Source organism: Homo sapiens, chromosome 3, assembly GCF_000001405.40.
Source record: "Homo sapiens chromosome 3, GRCh38.p14 Primary Assembly".
Classification (NCBI taxonomy): Eukaryota; Metazoa; Chordata; class Mammalia; order Primates; family Hominidae; genus Homo; species Homo sapiens.
Genome location: NC_000003.12, coordinates 173,788,860 through 173,808,678, shown reverse-complemented (window position 1 = coordinate 173,808,678; position 19,819 = coordinate 173,788,860). Strand labels below are relative to the sequence as shown.

The 19,819-nt window shown below is 33.8% G+C and overlaps 1 protein-coding gene across 33 annotated transcripts in view, besides 1 other annotated feature; it reads right to left on the bottom strand.

Moving 5' to 3' along the window:
- The window catches only part of NLGN1 (neuroligin 1), an 898,421-nt gene that overhangs the window by 485,694 nt on the left and 392,908 nt on the right, over positions 1 to 19,819 (bottom strand). For 22 of the 33 annotated variants that reach the window (NM_001365924.2, NM_001365930.2, NM_001365936.2 and 19 more), the window contains one exon: positions 847 to 999. In NM_001365924.2, the coding sequence (NP_001352853.1) occupies positions 847 to 999 (153 nt within the window). Of the gene's footprint in view, positions 1 to 846; positions 1,000 to 8,326; positions 8,387 to 19,819 lie in introns of all 33 variants that reach the window. The other 11 variants (XM_017005893.2, XM_047447706.1, NM_001365923.2 and 8 more) reach the window with 1 other exon arrangement.
- Positions 2,788 to 3,289: an enhancer, noted in NCBI's record as "NANOG hESC enhancer chr3:173523180-173523681 (GRCh37/hg19 assembly coordinates)". NCBI's record gives its function as "activates a minimal SCP1, AML or CMV promoter by ChIP-STARR-seq in naive H9 embryonic stem cells {active_cell/tissue: H9 hESC(naive)}" and the evidence as "EXISTENCE:reporter gene assay evidence [ECO:0000049][PMID:30033119]".

Sequence of the window (19,819 nt, the reverse complement as noted above, 5' to 3'; positions counted from 1 at the left end):
GCATTGTGCTCTTTTAGCAAATTCTGTTAATTAAATACATCACAGATAAAGATGTTTTACTAAATCATACAGTAATTTTACTCCTCAAATTGTGGTAATACTATAACAAACAAATATATGCTAGAATAGCAAGTTTATCTTTTAAAAACTGGTTATTGTATAAGATAACATGCCTATCTCAGAATACCTAAGTTATTTTATAAGTAATATGTCTCTATACTTTTTATCAAAGCTAAAAATCTCCACTTTGTATTTATCATTCTTTTGGCAAGAGTATACATCATTGAACTGAATTCTTTGTTACTTTATAAAATCAATGCATGTTTTTTCAAATTAAATAATTCAATCAGAATACATTCAGAAAAATATTACTAATTATTATGGAACCAAAATAACAACAACAAACCAAAGAAACCTCCATCACAATGGCAAACAATCATTCCCAAAAGCGAGTCCATATACATACTCCAGAAGAGAATGTAAACTTAGTCTTAGCTCACGCCAAACCTCAGGGAAACTTAGAGTATTGTAAACAGAAAAGCAGAAGAAGGAAATATTTGTTCAAAGATGTACTCTTCTTCAATAAGGCCCTGCCATTTTGTCTTTCATAGTTTATAAACCAGGAAGTACATTCCATGACAATGTGAATAATTTCATCACCTTTTAGTTTCACATCTTAAAACCAACCTATAGAATTCATTGAAACTATAAAAAATTTGGGCTCGAGAATGTCAACACGCATAAAAAAATGGGTGAAACAAAGCAAAGCAGAACAAAACAAGTCAAAACAAAACCATCACATACTTCATGGATTCATGGTGAAAACAAAAGAGAGACTCTTCTTACCGAGTACTCCAAGTCGATAGTTGACTGTGATGACGATCACATTGCCATAACTTGCCAAGACACTTCCATCATATAAATTTCCAGTACCTTCCATATATGAGCCACCATGGATATACACCATCACTGGTTTGGGACCCCCACTGTCCCGAATATCTGGAAAACAAATGGTTGGCAATCGTTCTTATCCTCAAAAATAACACACAATGAAGCAGAGAATACATTTTCCATCTTAGTGAAAAGAGGGCATAATTTCAATATAGTTCTTAAACTGCTGTTTTTATTAAAGTGTTTCTTAAGCAACTCATATGAATAGCTATTGTGGAAATAGCAATAGGCATCCATTGTTTTCTATCAAAATTTTGTTTACAAGTTGCAAACTGACTTATAAAACTTAGACAAATTAAAATTAGATGTGAATTTTAGTGCATTTTGATTAATTCCTCAAGTGACAGTAAACGCAAAAGAAACAGAATGGCAATGATTCTTAGGACTACTTTTTAAAAATATGATAGACTTCACATGACATTATGAGCCATAAACTAAAGACAATGGTATTATTGCTGTTGTGAACAAAAGAATCTGTTTAACCTTTCTTATGTACTGTAAAACTTTGTGTCAAATGCAACATGATTACATCAACTCATTTATGCTCCAATTTGTGAACATAATTACAGTATTGTGTTATGCAAGATGTTTCAGTTTACTACCTAAGTAATGTCAGATGAATGTTTAGGCACGAAAGTCATGTACATCTGTGCTCCTCTTGTTGCATTTAGGGAAATGTCATTAGAATGATATTTTTTAGGAAATTCAGGACATCCACTATATCCAGCTCTCCTTACCCTTTGGAAGAAGAGAACAGACAAATATTTTTTCACTTTCTTTGTGTGGCTAATATACTCTTCTTCTTCACGCTTTGGCTCTATGTTTTATCATGTAGACATGGGATGGGATAGAGCTAAGTTCAAGTGTAAAGTGTCAAGATTTAGGGTTCAAGTGATTTCTACAGCTCTGAATTTTATTAAATATATTTGCTCTTCTCATACTTTTCCTGAATTCTGTAATTTTCAACAAGGATCTAGAAATAATATATAAATAAACATAACATAATTTTAATCAGTATGAAAAATGCACTGATTTCTGTAGATAAGCCTAACTGTGTATATCAGCAAACATAGTTCTATCTACGTATTATATAGATTGAAATATTTGAACTACTATATGTATGCATATATATGGCTCTGAATATATACATAAAGAAAACATTACTATTATGTAATAGCCCATGATCTCTTATACCCACAATTGAAACAAAATTACATCAAATGTATTATCTTTTTTTATGCCAATATTAAAACGTATAATTTAATAGTATGTTTTTGTTCCTTTGCTTTCAAAATTTTTTATCACTTTTAACTCTCCAACATCCTTATAATCGAGGTGCCAGTTTTCAGAATGGACTAACAGAATACAAATTTATTGAAAGAACTAGTGATTACTTAGAGATTGCTTTGCATTTTTTGTAAAAAAATAGAATGTGTAATGTAAATGCCTTGATTTCTCTAGCGTAATAATAAAGTGATATCTTCAAATGAAGAATCATTTTAGGTCAAGGATTGCAGCTCAGCTTGTTTGCCCAGATTTTCGAGTTGGGGAAATGGCTCATTGCAGAACTTAACAAACTTTTTTAAAAGACTATTTAAATTTGACTTAATACCAGTGTATAAAGTTACTAGTACCCCTCTAATTCCCCAAAGGTATATTTGAGAATAATATCTTGTTTTTAAGTAGTGAGGGAAGGATACTTTGACATAGGAACCATTCACTAAACACAGACACATTTAAGAGGAAAATCTGAATTTATTTTCTCCTTGAAACCTTGGGAGAAAAAAATAGTATTCATTCATTTATAAAGATCTGGGGGCTTGTGGAGATGTTAGACTTACACAGAGAAAGCAATCCTTTTGAGATTGTTAAACTGTGCACCTTAAATGCCTGTTTGCTACATACAGTTTCAGCTTCTTATTTTTCTAGTGTGGCTGGCACTGAAAAAGCAATAATAAATTATTAAACTGAAATCATTAACTGACTGTTCACAGCAGACACTGTACTCGGCTAATTGTATGCTTGGAGGTAGCACAGAGGGAGGCTGTTTCAGAATTCTTCTTTAATTAAAATTACATAGAATTACAAAGCACCAACTGTGAACAGTAATGAAATCTTGGTAGAACCATTCTGTTCACCTGGAAAACAATACAACAATACAGGCACACATTGAGAAGACCTGCCACGTTTTATATTTAATAACAGAATTAAGTGGACATTGTCAGAAAACACTGAAAATATGACAATAGATTCTAGGAGCTATTTTGAGTGGTATCTCTTTATTTTTCTTTGAAAATTAGACTTAAAAGGATTACTGATAGTCTGGGTTAATCTTAATTTTTAATTTGCCTTTTCAAACTTTTCAAATTTCAGCCTTGCCTAATAACTTAAGATATTGAGCAGTTCTTTTCCATAAAGTTCTCTAGTATTCTTATGCTGTGTTCTGAAAAATATTTTTCATTTTAAGTAACCCTGAGATTTAGGTTATAAAAAGTATTATTAGGCTGGTGCAAAAGTAATTATGATACTTACTAAAACAGGTAAAATTCTTGGACATAACAAACCTTAATATTGTTAACAAAGTTTGAGAAACTGTAGAAACTTTGGATATTTTCTGTTACAGGAAAAAAATGGAAGCCTTTAATAGTGCATTGTCAGAGTGGTCCACCTTAGGCTTTATTTTAATTTAATTTTTATTTTTGAGACTGAGTTTCACTCTCGTCACCCAGGCTGGAGTGCAGTGGCGTGATCTCAACTCATTGCAACCTCCACCTCCAGTGTTCAAGCTATTCTCCTGTCTCAGCCTCCCGAGTAGTTGGGATTACAGGCGCCTACTACCATGTCTGGCTAATTTTGCATTTTTAGTGGAGATGGGGTTTCACTATGTTGGCCAGACTGGTCTTGAACTCCTGACCTCAGGTGATCTGCCCTCCTCGGCCTCCCAAAGTGCTGGGATTACAGGTGTGAGCCACCATGCCTGGCCAGGCTTTACTTTGTATAATGTTTTATTACAAATTTCTATCTTAGGCTTAACTTTTATGCTTAGTTTATAGGGTTTTTTTTTTTTTTTGATGTAAATAGCAATCTAAAGGCTCTCAATTACAACTATTTATTTGTTTTTAGAAAGAACCAGACTCTTTATAAATAAAACTAATATATCAGATAGCCTACCATTGAATACCATCTGCTAATTCCATCATTTTAATAATAATGTTGAAGGGGGCATTTATCTTCTGTGCAAATATATCAAATGCAGCTTATTAATTTATAATTAATTTTTTAGAGCCAAGTTGTCTCTTTAAACCTTTACATATTTAACCACCTATAAATATAGTGGAATTTGTGAACTATGAATTTTCACTTAAGATTTTTTACTTTGCCTAAACAGCATCTACTGACTTTACTAAAATCACAAGAACACACTCAGAAATTTTAAAATACTAACTCAGTTCCAGTAAAAGTACAAATGTTTGTCAGGCATGTTTATAATTTCCATTATTTGCAATGGTTTTAAGCCTTACTAAACACAAGCATTTAAATCAAGTTCTTCAAGTTAAAAAAAAAAATTGGAGTCTGAGTAAACACCTTGATTTAAAATTTTAGTACCTATTTTATCTTTCTTATAGACCAAAATTTTAAGCCAATGTAGCAAGTGTCAATAGATCTAGAGCAGTTAATGGGGATTTATTTGTACCTGACAACCAGAGTTTGAAATTACAACTTCCATTAATGATCTTAGTGAATAATTATTAGTGATATAATCATTAAATATGTTTACTGATTTTTTTTGTCTTAAAGGACTCATGAAGTATTTAATTGCCCATATTTTAGAGTTTTTAGAATTAACAGTTTTAAAATTGTGAAGTATTGCCTCAATTAAATCTTTCTCTATTATAAAAAAACACATTTCAAGGCAGACTTTTGTGCCTCCAGTCATTTTTATGAACCTCAAGTTATCATTCAGAACCACTGAATGAACATAGAAGTGTTGGCTGAATTTCTGCTTGTTAAACTGGACATAACAGAATTAAACACACCTTTTTAGCTTAAAAATATTCAAAATCTACAAAAAATTGTCTTGAACTATATAGTATATAAAATTGCATTTAATTTTTTTTGTTTGACAGAATCTCATTCTGCGGCCCAGGCTGGGGTGCAGTGGTGCAATCTGGGCTCATTGCAATCTCCACCTCCCAGATTTAAGCAATTCTCATGCCTCAGCCTCCGGAGTACCTGAGATTATAGGTGCTCGCCACCATGCTGGGCTCATTTTTTTATTTTTAGTTTCACCACGTTGGACAGTCTTGTCTCCTACTCCTGATTTCAAGTGATCTGCCCACCTCGGCCTCCCAGAGTGCTGGGATTACAGGGTGTGGAGCCACCACACCCAGGGTAAATATTGAAATGTTAATATGAAGGCATTATTAGCACCATTAAAATTTTTAAAAATACTTCTTAAATTTTTAAAATACTTCTTAAATTTTTAAAATAAGTTGGTAGAAATCTGGGATGTTACTTTGAACCATTTTTGTCACTTCAGATTAGTCTTGTTTTTAACTATGGAATTGTCTTAAAGATATACAATTCTGCCAGGCCTGGTGGCTCACGCCTGTAACCCCAGCACTGTGGGAGGCTGAGGCAGGTGGATCACCTGAAGTCAGGAGTTCGAGACCAGCCTGGCCAACATGATGAACCATGTCTCTACTAAAAGCAAAAAATTAGCTGGGCATGGTGGCAGGCGCCTATAATCCCAGCTACTTGGGAGGCTGTGGCAGGAGAATTGCTTGCTTGAACACGAGGGCGGAGGTTGCAGTGAGCCAAGATCACGCCACTGCCCTCCAGTCTCCATGACAAAAGGAAATTCTGTCAAAAAAAAAAAAAAAGATATACATTCTTTTGTATATCTTTTTGTATACCCAGGAATATGGCCAGTGGCCTTGCAATTCAGTGGCTGAGACTGGGACCTGAAATGAAGCATAGGTGGAGGGGAACTGGGTGGGGAATTTCACATAAGTGATCTGATGACCTGACTTCTGACTGATGTAAATGAAGTTACTTATCAAGTCCTTCATATTTGTTGCCTTATGTCCAGTGATGTCGAGTCAACATTTGGAACAAATTCAATATTGATCACAATTTTTATTCACAGTCACATCTACAAAATAATGATAAAAAGAATTGAGTTAAAAATGCTCTGAAATTTCTATAAAAGGTTTCTTTTCCCCTGTAGGATATCTGAATTCATCTTTCTTGTATTCAAAACAATTATCTGAAACAACACAGAGGAAGAGACCGAACTGGAATTGACTGTTTTGACATTCTACGCTTTTGAGTATTTAAAAATATTTATTGATTCAATAACTCTTGTGACTGAATGGCTTAGTACTTAACCTGAATACTACCTGACATTTTAATAGGGTTTTAGGATATTTTAAATGGCTATTTAAAAATGTTAAATGTGCTTCAAAACATGTCTATAAAATAGATTCAGGTTTACATGGCCTAGCTATGATCGCTCAGACTTACCTACTCTAAATAGGTAAATGCCTTACTTGAAGCTGTTTTAACAAAAGGAAAAAAAAAATCACATTAAATAAGCAATCAAAATATTTTTAAAATAGGAAAATAATGTATTTTAACCCTTTGCCTAAATGGGGAAAATTTGGCCTTTACAAAGATACACATGAAGAAGTCCTGTATGCTTTCAGTATTATTTAGATAACAAATTCTAGGAGTTAAGGATTTTCAAGGGGTTCAAAAAGTCCCAAAGCCTGAAAGTGGAAGTAGTCTTCTTATAGTTTTGGAAACAGTAATTAATGTTCTACAATGTCACAAAATATCCTGAATGTTTGAATGCATCAAATTTCAAATAGTGTTTAAAATATCAGAATTTGCATCTTGATAGTATAAGTTTATTTTTAGCTATTTAACATTCAGAATAACTCTTGGACAGCGATAATGATTTGTTTCAAATATTAATGACTGCTTTGTGTTTAATCTTTAATCCACTGCTGGTGTTCGTGGTAAATAAATATTTAATCAAATGTCATACATTTTATTTAATCAAAATAATTCTTAAGTGTTTCAAAAATATTAACACCAAATATAATTTTTAAGTTCTCAATACTCCACCTCTGTAATTTAATTATCTGTTGTGAAGGAGTTTATTAAATGTATATATGTCAATGCAAATAAGGCAAATATTTTAGTAAAAATTTATTTACCCATAGTTCCCTTGTAACTCATGGAACAAAACTTTTGCTGTCCTTGTTGTAGATTATTTTATTTTGGAAAACTTTTCTAACCACATTATTATTTTCGTTATGAGATTTAATTTCTAGATTTCTGGCACTTACTCTGAAACCTGGGATTACAAAACATAACAAAATGAACAAACAAAAAGCATAAACTTTAATCCTGATTGGAACCAAAAAAGATGAGCTCACTTTAACACCATGTAAAGGTACAGTGAAATCAGAAATGTCAAGTCAATCTAGGTAGTGAGTTCATAGGTTTACAGAGTAAATCAGAATTGTATGTCAAATGAAAGTTGTAAGGAGAAACAATTTGGATATTAATGAAGTAGAAAATATTCTATTGCTTATAGTTGCAATGTTTGAAAATCAGAATATTTTATTTGACAATCTGGAAATCATGTCTCCTTGAAATTAAGAATATTCATTGAATCTTGTCTAAGAAAATAGCTACAGACTCTATCAAAAGTACTACAGGAGTCCAGAATACTTAAATGGTTGTACAATGTTTACTACAGTTTTCTAAATAGTTGTAATGCCTTTTCTTATGTATACAATTTAATTGCATTTATGTGACATTTAAGCAAATAAACAGAAAACAGTATTTTTTACATTAAAATATATTGCTCAAGAAACACTTTATATTAGCTTTCAGCTTGTCCTTCATTTTATTGGGTGTGTGTGTTTTTTTAAAACAAATGTCGAATGTAAAAATGAAGCACATTTTAATATTCGGGAAAATATTTACATAGATTAGAAAACATGCAAAATGGGCACAGAGAGACTACAAGGGAGAGATTGTTAGTTCAAAGAAGGTGGACAAAATTCAGTCAAAATGTGGGATGAAACATATCAAAAGTCAGTTCAAGAAAACAAAAAAAAAATGCCCCTCTTTTTAAAACATTTTAATGGTTGGCATCAAAATGTAAAACTTAATATTAATTTTTTAAAAAAATTAATACTCTATATTTGTATGTAACAACAAGCAAGAAGACAAAACACATCAAAAACAGGAATTAAAAACAACTCTTCAAAAAAAGACAAGAAGTAAAAAAATAGAAAGGGGTGGAAAAAGTGATTGAGGCCCTTGTCATGCAAATAGATTTGGTGAAAAAAAATACCTTCATCTTCAGCACCGTCATTATCACCTAAATCATCTGTCTGTTTCTTTGTAAGGGGACCTAGGATTGAGAACGGAGAAATGGAGGAAAAAAAAAAAAGACAATTCAAGAATAAACAAGACTGAGGGGAAAAAATAAATATAAATACTAAAATTCTCAAGGATATTTCCAAAAAGAGTGGGGAAGTGGTCACATCATAATTGACTACCTATTTTTGTTTAAGAAAAAAAAACCCTTTCCCAAAAATATCTCATAGAAGATTTGGGTTGTAAATATATCCAGCATAAAAAATACATTATGGCTTGAAAATCAAGTCATGAGCAAAGACTTTTAAAAAAAAAAAAAAAAATACCCATTGCATACAAAAAAGTAAACAGTTTTATTAGCTGAAAGAACTTAATTTATTCAGTGTCTTTTCTAATTTAAATTGGTGGCAACATTAAAAAAGTAGGTCAAATTCATTCTTTAATTTGAGACAATATAATAACCTTAGAGAAGACAGAGATATGAATATCTTAAGTTGCTCTTTTTCTATTTTCTTCTTTTTTTTAAGAACATTAACATTTGGTTTTCACATATTTTTAATCCATACATTTTTCAAAACTGTGACTTTTTAAAATTACTTGTCATTACACAAATATTTCCCCATGTGTTTTCATTTAAATATTACTTGTGGATTTAAGACATTTGCATCCTGCACAAATGTATCACTAAATAGTCTCATCACTCAGCAGAGCAAAAGTTCGATCAGTAGAAGTCAGTGTTTAGCTATTAAGGTAGTTACCGAGTCAGGGCTTATATTTCATAATCAATTTAGTAATATAATGGAATTATGCCTTAGTGCAGTTTCATGCTCAGTATAGTTATTTATAATAGGATCATGTTTGAGGAGAATAATTGTATTAAAACACTGTGAATGCTTAATAAGTGTTTTATTATACTTAACAATGCTAATTTGCAAGAATAAAGGAGCACACCAAAGGGGACGTCAAAGGGCATATGAAAGTAATTTTAAGTGTCACATAATTGACATACTCAGCACATAAAAAAGCAAGTGAAGTCTCACATTCTTTTTTTGTTTCCACAACCATTTAATTTGCATGACATTTAATAATCCTCATGCAAAAAGCAATCATTACAAACACACGACACTCAAGTTAAAAGACAGCCAATCACATAGCAGTAAGCAAGAGAATTTTGTCATGCATAAAATAACAGTCAAAGAAAAGGGAGGGAAAAAGAGACTGAAAGTCATGTACTGATTTCAATAATATAAATAGTAAAGAAGCAGGCATTAAGTCTAAGCACACTTCATAGGGAAAGATTGTTAAACATTTTTAGCAAAATTTCTAAGTCTTTTCCGAGATTACTATTCATTATATTTATAATTCCAAACTAAATTTACTATTATAACTCTCAAAGAATGAAAAACACAATCCCAGAAAACAGAGGGGGAAAAATAAGATATAATACAGTTATGTTTCATCAGCTCAGGGAGACAGCCTTGAAAAACAGTAATAACTTGTCAAAGATCAGAAGATTGGAAAGGCAGAAATGGATGAAGTAATTGAAGTAACCCATTGACTACCTCAATTGAAAGGTCACGGTTTCAAGGTCATTTCAAACACAGACAGGGAAACTATAAACAATAAATTAAGTGATAGACTTTTATAATCACACCTGCAAGCAATTATTCCATTAACAGAAAACATAGATAAAGCAATAATTTATATTAATTGACACTCAGTTGCAAGTTCACAGAAATGTACATTTATTTAACATGACCCTGTTTAAATGCAAAAGGCATGCTTAGGATTATTTGACATTCATGCAACAACATAGCTACATTTCTGAAAGCTATACATATTTTTTCATTTAAATTTTAAAATTGCTGAATCAGAATATTATATTTAAAATATTTCCAATTTCAAAGCATCCCTCAAAATATTAGACTTCAAAAATTATATTTTCAAGCTTTTAATTTTTCTGTAATTTCTTAAAGACTGCAAAAAAATATACATTTCTATTTTCTAGGCTGCTATGTAGAAATTATGGTTTTATTCACTGGTTAGCAACACAATTTAAATGCAGTGGCATTTATTGCTGCCAAAACCACTATCTACTTTCCAATTTTAGTTAAATTACTTAATTTGCTTAATTCTTGGCTATATTAAGAAATCATTAATGTGAGCTCAAATTTTTTTTCCTGAATCATTAGTTTGCTAATATTTGGAGGCACGTGTAAAATCTATCACAATTAAATCACTGTCTTCATTTTGTTCGGGGCTCTATAAGAGCTCTCTCTTGAATTAGTCAGATGGAATTGTCTTTCTTTCCCCTTCTAGGGTACCCAAGTCAATTTACATGATTTCTATGAGGAATCATTCAGCTTATATAGCCACTGAGCCAGTGCTTTCTATATACTTTACATGTATTTAGAGCTGGCTAGCTCTTGGGCCTACATGAGTTGCAACAGTAAGAGAATTGTTGTCAAAACATCATCGCCCACTTCTTTGCATGTGGCACATGGCTCTCAGTTGCTAGTTGAGGGCATATGTAGAGAAGTCATGGACAGTATATATACAGAGAGTTTTTCCATGGATGCATGGTTGATGGATCAGTTTTTTTGCTTGTTTGTTTCTTGTTTTTTTTTGTTGTTGTTGTTGTTGTTTTATTTTTTGTTTTTTGCTACATTAGTTATTTTTACCTTCCTTACTTAGGAAACTGTGTTTCTCTTACCTGATGTGAGATAATAATTGCATGCATGCATTGTATAGGACATCTTTTATTGTAATAAATCTGAAGAATTAGAAGCAAATACAAATATTGCTTCAGCATCATGGGGATATGATTATCCTGGAGGAGGATTAAGTCCAGTTATCCCAATACACTTCATTTATTGATACTAAATAAAACGTTATTATTAGATGACAGTAAGTTTTTTCCCATAGTACGAATTACAGCAGTATTTTAGTGATTTCAGTATATCTGGGTGTTCTTAACATCAAGAATTTTTTACATATCTGATTTTTGAAGGTTCCCTAGGAAGAAGAGGGTTGGTAACAGTTTTGGGCAAAACTGATTATAAGAAGAAAGAACACAGATTTCCTTTATCTCTACGCCTAAAGGCACTGAGAATAAATATCTACAGAGTTCAGGGCTGCAAACTGAGAAACTCCACACTGGTTTCTCTGAGGAAGCCTCAGTGGAGTAAACATATGCTTCTGGATTACCGCAGCAGATCCCTACATGATCTCAAGATTCCCTCTTCCCCTGCTGGAAACAAAACACCACCTCTGCCTAGAGCTCCCTTCTTTGCTAGGGCATCCAGCTCTCTGGCTCACTTTCCCTTTGTTCTAAACTGTTAGAACTGATGTAATCACTCATGTTAAAACATTTTAAACGGAAAGAAAATATTGTAAAAGGTAATTGGCATTAATTTTTTATGAAAAGTAGACAGTCACATTTTAGACACTCTATTCCTGTAAATTGAGCAACATCATTTCCTCAAAGGGTAACACATTTATCCTTCAAATAGAAATAACAGTTATTAACAACATTCTAACCACAGCTTATGCTTCTTTTAAACAACAAATACTGCATTTTCAATACAAGCAGTTTAAATGGATATCTCAAAGCACCAAAATATAAAGCAAATGAGACCACTAAAACCAGTGTGTAGAAGTGATTAATTCTACCTTGAAACTCTATTGGGTCTGTCCTCCCTGAGGAACACACACATAACTCTCATTAGAGTTAATAGGAGAGTAGACCTCCTGTCATTTTGAAAGGGAGTGAGAGTAATTACTATACTTTATATCTCCTATGGGCAATAAATAAATTCAGTGGTGAAACAACAGGACTAAGCAAGGTAAAGGGAACTCCTAACATGAACTTTGAACTCATTTAATTCCAAAATAGTTTCTTTTCGATTAACATGAGCATAATTCAAAGTATGGGTTCTGGTAAAGGACGTGCGATGCATTCTTACATTTCAGAATCCGACCAGAGCCTTTTATTTTTTAAAAAGGGAGTAAAAATATCAGCGTTTCTCTGTAGTTAACAGGAGAATAATTATGAGCTCTGAAATAATTACTATCCACCCATATTAATGCTGCTTTTTATCATTCCCTTTGATGAAGGGCTAATATACTTTGGGTCTCAAATACATTAGAACTGATTATAAATTCCTTCATTATGGGTTCAATTCAGCAGAAATTATCCATACTTTGTGTCACACATATCTGCAAAAGGCAAGTAGGTTGAGGGTATTATTAGCTCCCGACTTAGAAAAGCTGGCCATTAGAAATGCGTCCTTCTCAAGGGAAGAAGCCTCTGAATTTTTTAGGATTATTTAGAGCTTCTGGCTCCAGTGGTCCCACCATGATAGATGGAAAGCCCTGGCTATTGACCTTGTTTTTTTCCCCTGTCCTCTTGACCCAGCAGTCTTTGAAGTAAACTGATTGTAAAGCATCCCTAAGGCCATTTTTACAAAATGAGAGAATTTAAGATATTGCCATTGTTGTTCTGGAGCAATTGGAAGCAGGCTAAATGTTCTCAAGGATGTATTCTCTTGGGGTAAAATTTAGTTTATAAAACTTGAATCAAGGATATGAAAAAATATGTGTATTCCGGAGAACAATGCCAGAATTCAATGCATTTTAAGTAACGACAGGATTATGTTACTATATTTGACTTTTTCAACCTGACAAACATTAAAACACAATGGTTTTAAGAAACTAGATATTATGACAGTTGTCATTGCAAAGTTATTGAATTTTACCCATTGAAATTTAGTTAATTTTATATAACTAAAATGAATACATAACTTTTGAGAATACAGAAATCAGTAAAAGTGACTGATTTGGAATCATTCTCGCTAATTTGATATTACTATATTTATTCAACAAAAAGTTATCACACTTTTAAAACTATTGATTATATGACCAGATATAAAGAAAGCATAGCTGAAAAATAATTTTCTTTCTGGAAAATGTTTCAGTTAAAGGGGAATTACATTTTTGAGAATGTCATACGTTTGTATTATGCTAAACTAAAAATCTAATGCAAGCCACTCCAATGAGATATTGGAAGTGAATTTTGGAACACTTGATTATTTAAAAAAAGAATCCATATCAGTGCAAATCTTGGTGGTGGTGCTCTGTCATTCATGACAATGAGTGTCATTTAGGTGAGCTGCCTGTTTAGGCTAATGGCTCCTATGTACACATGTTTTGGAAGGAAACAATTTCCAAGGGTCTGAAAGCAACAGACATACCCTATGTTTAGTTTTGTGTTGGAAGAAGACACATAAACACAAAATATATTCCTTCAGACAGTTTTTCAGAGGTAAGAGCACAACTTGAAACACACACACAAAAAAAGGAGAATCTTATGTTAAAGTCAGGAAAGGGGAAAAGAGAATTTTTCTCTGCTCTAGTACACTGAGAAGAGCTCATTTGTATTTATTTAAAAAATAGTTTTTCACCATAAATTACCTTGATTACATAACACTTTGATGTCAAAAGCAATTCCATCTAGAATAAAAAAATGATAGCATCTGGGGAAGAAAGAATTTAAGTAGATAAAAAGTAAATTAAATAGACTAACCCCTAACCTGAGCATCAGCAAATTTGCAAAGCTCATTATTCTTTAACACTATATTTGTTTGATTTTTATTACATGCAGATACAGTATTTCTACAGCCTGAAGAATCTCAAACTGATGTTCCTTTTATTCTGGAGAAATGCTTCTGTATACTCTATAAACCCTTTCACACTTTGTGAAGACACACTCTCCATTGCCCTGACTTTCCAAGTATTATCCAAAGTTGCACCTAGAGCAGGAGTCTGGTGAGAACACAAGTGCCACTAGATGTCTAGAGCTATTTCAATGAAGATGGGATTGGGATGGCATCAATAATCCAACCTCCCTGCCATGGTTGCAATATTCTGTCATCCAGCTGTTTAACAAATATATGGTACATTAGGCATGAAGGATACATGGAGGAACAAAACAGGCAAGACAACTACACTCATGAAAATTAGATCTCAGCAAAGAGACATGAAGCAAATATACATACACATACACTTATAAATTGTGATAAGTGTCAAGGAAAAAGTCTTGGTGCTATAAGATGTTATACAAGGTGACCTGGCTGAGTCTGGGAAGTCTTCAGTGACTAGGTGTAATGTGGCCTGAGGGCTGAAAGATGAGTAAACACCAGGCAGGCAAAGGGCTGGGTATGAGGAGGTAGGGTGGAAAGAAGATTTCGGGGAAAGAAAATAGCACATAGAAAGGCCCCAAAAGAGAGGAAGCCTGGAGGTCAGTGTGGCTGGCATACAAGGAGTAGAAAAGAGAGTCGTGGGTGATGAGGACAAAGAGCCAGACAAGAATCAACTGGAACACACAGCCCCTTCAGCTGAAGGATTTTTGTCTTAATCTTAAAAGCAATGGAAGCCATTTACAGGGTTTAAGCACACACTGATAAACTCTGCCCTATCTGAGTCTTAAACACAAGAATCAAAAAGAGGCAAAATCATTCTCAGAAATATGACAGGGAATATTTTATATAGAAGCCTGCATTATGCTCTCATCAGACAAGAATTGCTTTATGGAAGTGAAATTAGATGATGAAAAAGGAGCCTCTGAGGTCTTATTCCATTTGTGTTTGCAAGTAAAATTAATGTCACCAAAAAGTAAAATTCAAGACTGTAGCACTTCTGAAATTTTATAAATATTTCTAAAGTTTTGATTAAATATGTATTTAAAGTTAAATTCACTTTGCCTGAGAATTAACATATTTTAATTGATCTTATATTCATAAAGATACAATATTCTGCAACAATTTCTACTTGGATGTCTCACCAACATCTCAGTACAACAGGGATGACCATCATCTCCACCTTCAAAGCCCATTTTCCCTCCAGCATAGGTCTTGCTTTCAGAGGTATAACCCCCTCTGTCTCTAAACTCTAAATCTAGAAATAATATTTAACTATTCCCTCTTCCTTCCTTTGCTCTCATCATATTTCACCAGATTTCCCAGGGAAATCTCATTCCTGTCATTAAATACTCTCTACTGTTAGCCTAGTCAGTGGCTACCATTACCACGATTGAATTATTGTAGAAAGCTCTTGGTTGCTTCTACCATCATGCAGACTCCAGACTCTCTCCCAATCCATTTTGTATTCAATGGGTTTTTTGAAGTTGTAGTTATTAATAGTGGCAAACCCAAAGAGAAAAAAGATTTAATCATTGTAAATTAACATCAGCTAAAATGTGCACACATTCAACTCCTTCTGAGACTAAAATTGCAAGCACTCTAAGAGAACTAACAGGAACTTAAAAACCTAAAGGCTTACTTAGACATAGTGAATCTTGTACTGTGAGTTTTAAAATAGCTAAAACAAGACAGATGAAAACTAAATATGGTTTAACACTAGTTTTGATGTTTTCGAAATTCATGAGCAAAAATAAGATATTTTCTATTCCAAATGGAAGCTAGTCATTTAAAATACATTTTTAAAAACGCAGTGCAGATTAATGTAATTTAAACATGACTTTCATTGTTCCACTACTCTCCTTAAAAGTCTTTACTATTTCCTTATTCCTATTGTCATATACTAAATGCTCAAATCCAGCCCATAAGACCCTCTTACTATCTGCACATTTTATCTCTTAAGTTCCATTGCTTTCCAAAATATGTCTTTTTTTTATTGTGAGTCTTGTGCCGTTGAACAAAACAGTGACTTCATCCTTAGACCTTGTGTATTTTATTCCATATGTTTGATTCCTTAAAGTTCTTATTATAATCAACTCACCTCAGAGAGGAGGAAAGGTGTTAGTGCAAACATGGAGAGTCTCCTCTACAATAATGTGTAAGAGTATTTCACATTGAAAAGAAAGGAGTATTACTTTGTATTTTGGCCCAAAATGCTGTCTTCAGGATATGAATGAGAGAGATAGTTCTCTACACACCAGCAAGACCTGACTATAAAAATACCTTAACTTTTTGGCATTATTAAATTTTATCTTCATAAGTGAGATAAAAAGATTGAAGCAGTCATTATGAAGATCCTGTTTTCTGAGTGGGTCTCACTGGAAACAAGCCAGTGAAGGATGAGCTCTCTGACAGTGTCTATCCCCCTGAAATGACTTCTTAACAGTTTCTGGTCTCACACATGCCTCTCCTTGCTAAACATCTTTGATTCTCAATGAAGCACAATTTCATTGTTTTCATACTTTCTGTGCTATTCCACATGAGTTGATCCTCTTTTACCATGCAGGCTGGAGTATTTCGGGGACACAATTCTCTGCCCCTTTCTCTCTCTGCCTCTGTCTATCTTGCCTGATGCAATAAATGTTAAGCATATACTACATACTACAGAAACACTTGGAATCCAGTGGTCATGTGCCCAGATTCATAGGACGCTAGAGCTAGAAATGACCCTACTGAGTGACTATCGAACTCCTCATTTCACAGGTGAAGAAACAAAAATAGAGTGTTTAACAGATTTTGCCTAGGACTCACAGCTAGTCAGAAGCAGAACTAGGTCTAGATCTCAGTTTTCCTCTCACCCAGTCTGGTTAGCTCCTATACAATAAGTCACATAGCAATAAAGACAAGCAGAGAAAAGGAAAAATTGGGTGTGGGTGTAGCATAGACCTGTTTTAAGCAAACCATAAATCAATTGTTTTTTTAATAATCATATTACAACTGGAAAGCCGTTAGCACTACCCCAAGCAACACTTCATCTAGATGCAATTGAAATTTAAATTAAAATAAAGAAAAATATTTATTGAAGTGCCTTTAAAAGAAAAAAAAAAAAACAGAAGAAACTTAAAAACAAGCCAATGGATTTGGAAGGACAAAAGATCCTAGAGTTCAAACTAAATAAGTAATATCAGTTAAATTGCATAACTTCTCAGTAGTGGATATCATTAAATTGGGTGGTGTGCGGAATAAATACTTAAAGCTTGGAAAAATTAAATAATTAACCAGATGTAAAGTAAGGACAAGAGTAGCTAGGGCTAATGGATAGTCATATAGGCCAATGAGAGAGTGAAATGCTTGTACAGGTTGGTGAATAACGATTACCCAGAACTTCCAGAGTCCTTCTACTCAAGCGTCCAAGTTGCTTTGGCTGGGCCAATTTCCCAGGATACCCTTACTGTAGCATGATTAAGAAACTAAAGAGTTAATGTTTAGCATCAGTGGGGCTACCACACCCAGTCACAGTACTCTATGCAGATACCGTTTTTAACGACTGTAGACAACTTATATGTTTGTTATCACCTCTGAATTATTCTCAAAGATATTTCCAAATCTAGAAGTGTAAGACTCTAAAAGGTATTTCCTAAATTATACATTAATACTAATTGATAATTTGTCTGTGTCATAAAGGGCTTAGAGACAGATATATACAGGTTTGGATTTTGGGCTCTTTCATATGCTAGCTGTGTAACCTTTGACATGTTTTCTAATCTCACAGCATCTCAGGAGACAATGCCATACTCTTCTAAAAATATTGTGATAATAATTAAAAGTGCCTCCTACAGGGATTAGCATAGAGAAGTTTAGTTAAATATTTGTTTTGCCCTTCACCTCTCTTCTATCCATTAACTCAAACTAAATCCTTAATACACAAACACACACACACACACAACCATACTCACACATGTACCTTCTAGTATGATATGCACTTTAAAAAGAAGAATTTTAGAATTAGGTTGTCCCCACTCAATTACCTGCCAGCTATATGACCTTGGTAGCTTTCTTATCCTCTCTATTATTAGTTTCTTTAAACGTAAATCAGAATAATACTTGCATAATAAAATTTTCGTAACAATTCAATATTCTAAACGTGAAATACCTAGTATAATGCCTGATCTATAAAGAGAATACAGTGAGAGTAATGATAATTATCACTGAATTGTGGGTGGTTGAGAAAGAATCTAGGGCTTAGAAAGATGATAAATTTGTCCAATATCCTCTATCTAATAAATGGGAAGCCAGGATATGGACGCAGCTCTGTATTATTCTGGAATTCACACCATTCACACTATTCTGTGCAACTACTTTAGGGAGAATAATAGAATGGTAGTTAAAATCCAAGAGGAGTGCTTCACTGGGATACATACATACACACACACACATATGTATATATATACACACACACATATATACACACATATATATATTTGAAACTACCTAACCACTCAGGGTAAATCTGTTGCTCTTTTATTACATGGCATAAGGTACCATGATGAAGAAAAAAATAAAAGAAACAATTATAAATGTAGTTGGAAGGTAGAGAGCAAGATGTGCCTCCTATGGTATGAGGAAAGAAAGGCATGGTTATGACAACAAAGGATTAAAAAAAGACAAGGGTAGGGACTGTGCTCTGCAGAAGGAATGAAGCTCACAGGTGCCTTGTCCTCAATAGAGATGCTGAGAAATCAGAACTAGATTAGCTGCATGGAGGTGAGGCAGTTGGGAAAAATATAGAAAATGTGTTCTATTCAAATATGAAAGTTTGAATTTGAACTTTAGTTTATTGCTTAATCCAAGGAAGGATGGGCGGAGTGTGGAACACCGTACATTATGCCCAGATTGTGAAGCTGTGAGTCAGTTGCTCCCACAGTACACAGAGGCCTCACCAGCATGAGAGGGCTCATCCCTGAATTACAGGTGCTAAATTCTGTAGTCAAAGAGCCCAAGTTATTAACAGAAGCCTTGGGTTCTAGTTTGAACTCTGCCTCTTACATTTTAGGTGATAATCTATATGACATTGTTCAAGACATTTTCTATCTCTGAGCCTTCATTTCTTTGGCTGTGAAAAGGAAGGGACAATGTGTTCTATCCACCTTGGGAGATTGTGGTAGGATCAAATATGATGGTGTTTGTGAAAGCTCTGCAAAGGCTTTTCACGTGTAATGTGGAAGTTTAATGTAATAGGCATTAAGTGAGCTGGAAGTAGTGGGGACTACTAAAGAAAAGAAGCCTGGTTACAACACAAAGGACTGGCTGTATTTGTATTATTTTCAGGAAAAAAGTGCATGCACACTTCACGCTTCTTTTTAATTAAAACTAACTTTCTTTCCTTCCTTCCTTCCTTCTTTCTTTCTCTCTCTCTCTCTTTCTTTTTTTTTTGGATGGACTCTCACTCTGTCATCCAGGCTAGAGTGCAGTGGCGCGATCTCAGCTCACTGCAACCTCTGCTTCCCAGGTTCAAGTGATTCTCCTTCCTCAGCCTCCTGAGTAGCTGGGACTACAGGTGCACACCACCATTCCTGGCTAATTTTCTGTACTTTTTTAGTAGAGACAGAGTTTCACCATATTGGCCAGGTTGGTCTGGAACTCCTGACCTCGTGATCTGCCTACCTCAGCCTCCCAAAGTGCTGGGATTACAGGCGTGAGCCATCATGCCCGGCCAACATCCTTTCTTTCTTACTGGCTATGAAGAACACAGGTTCTGGAATCAGGTCTTT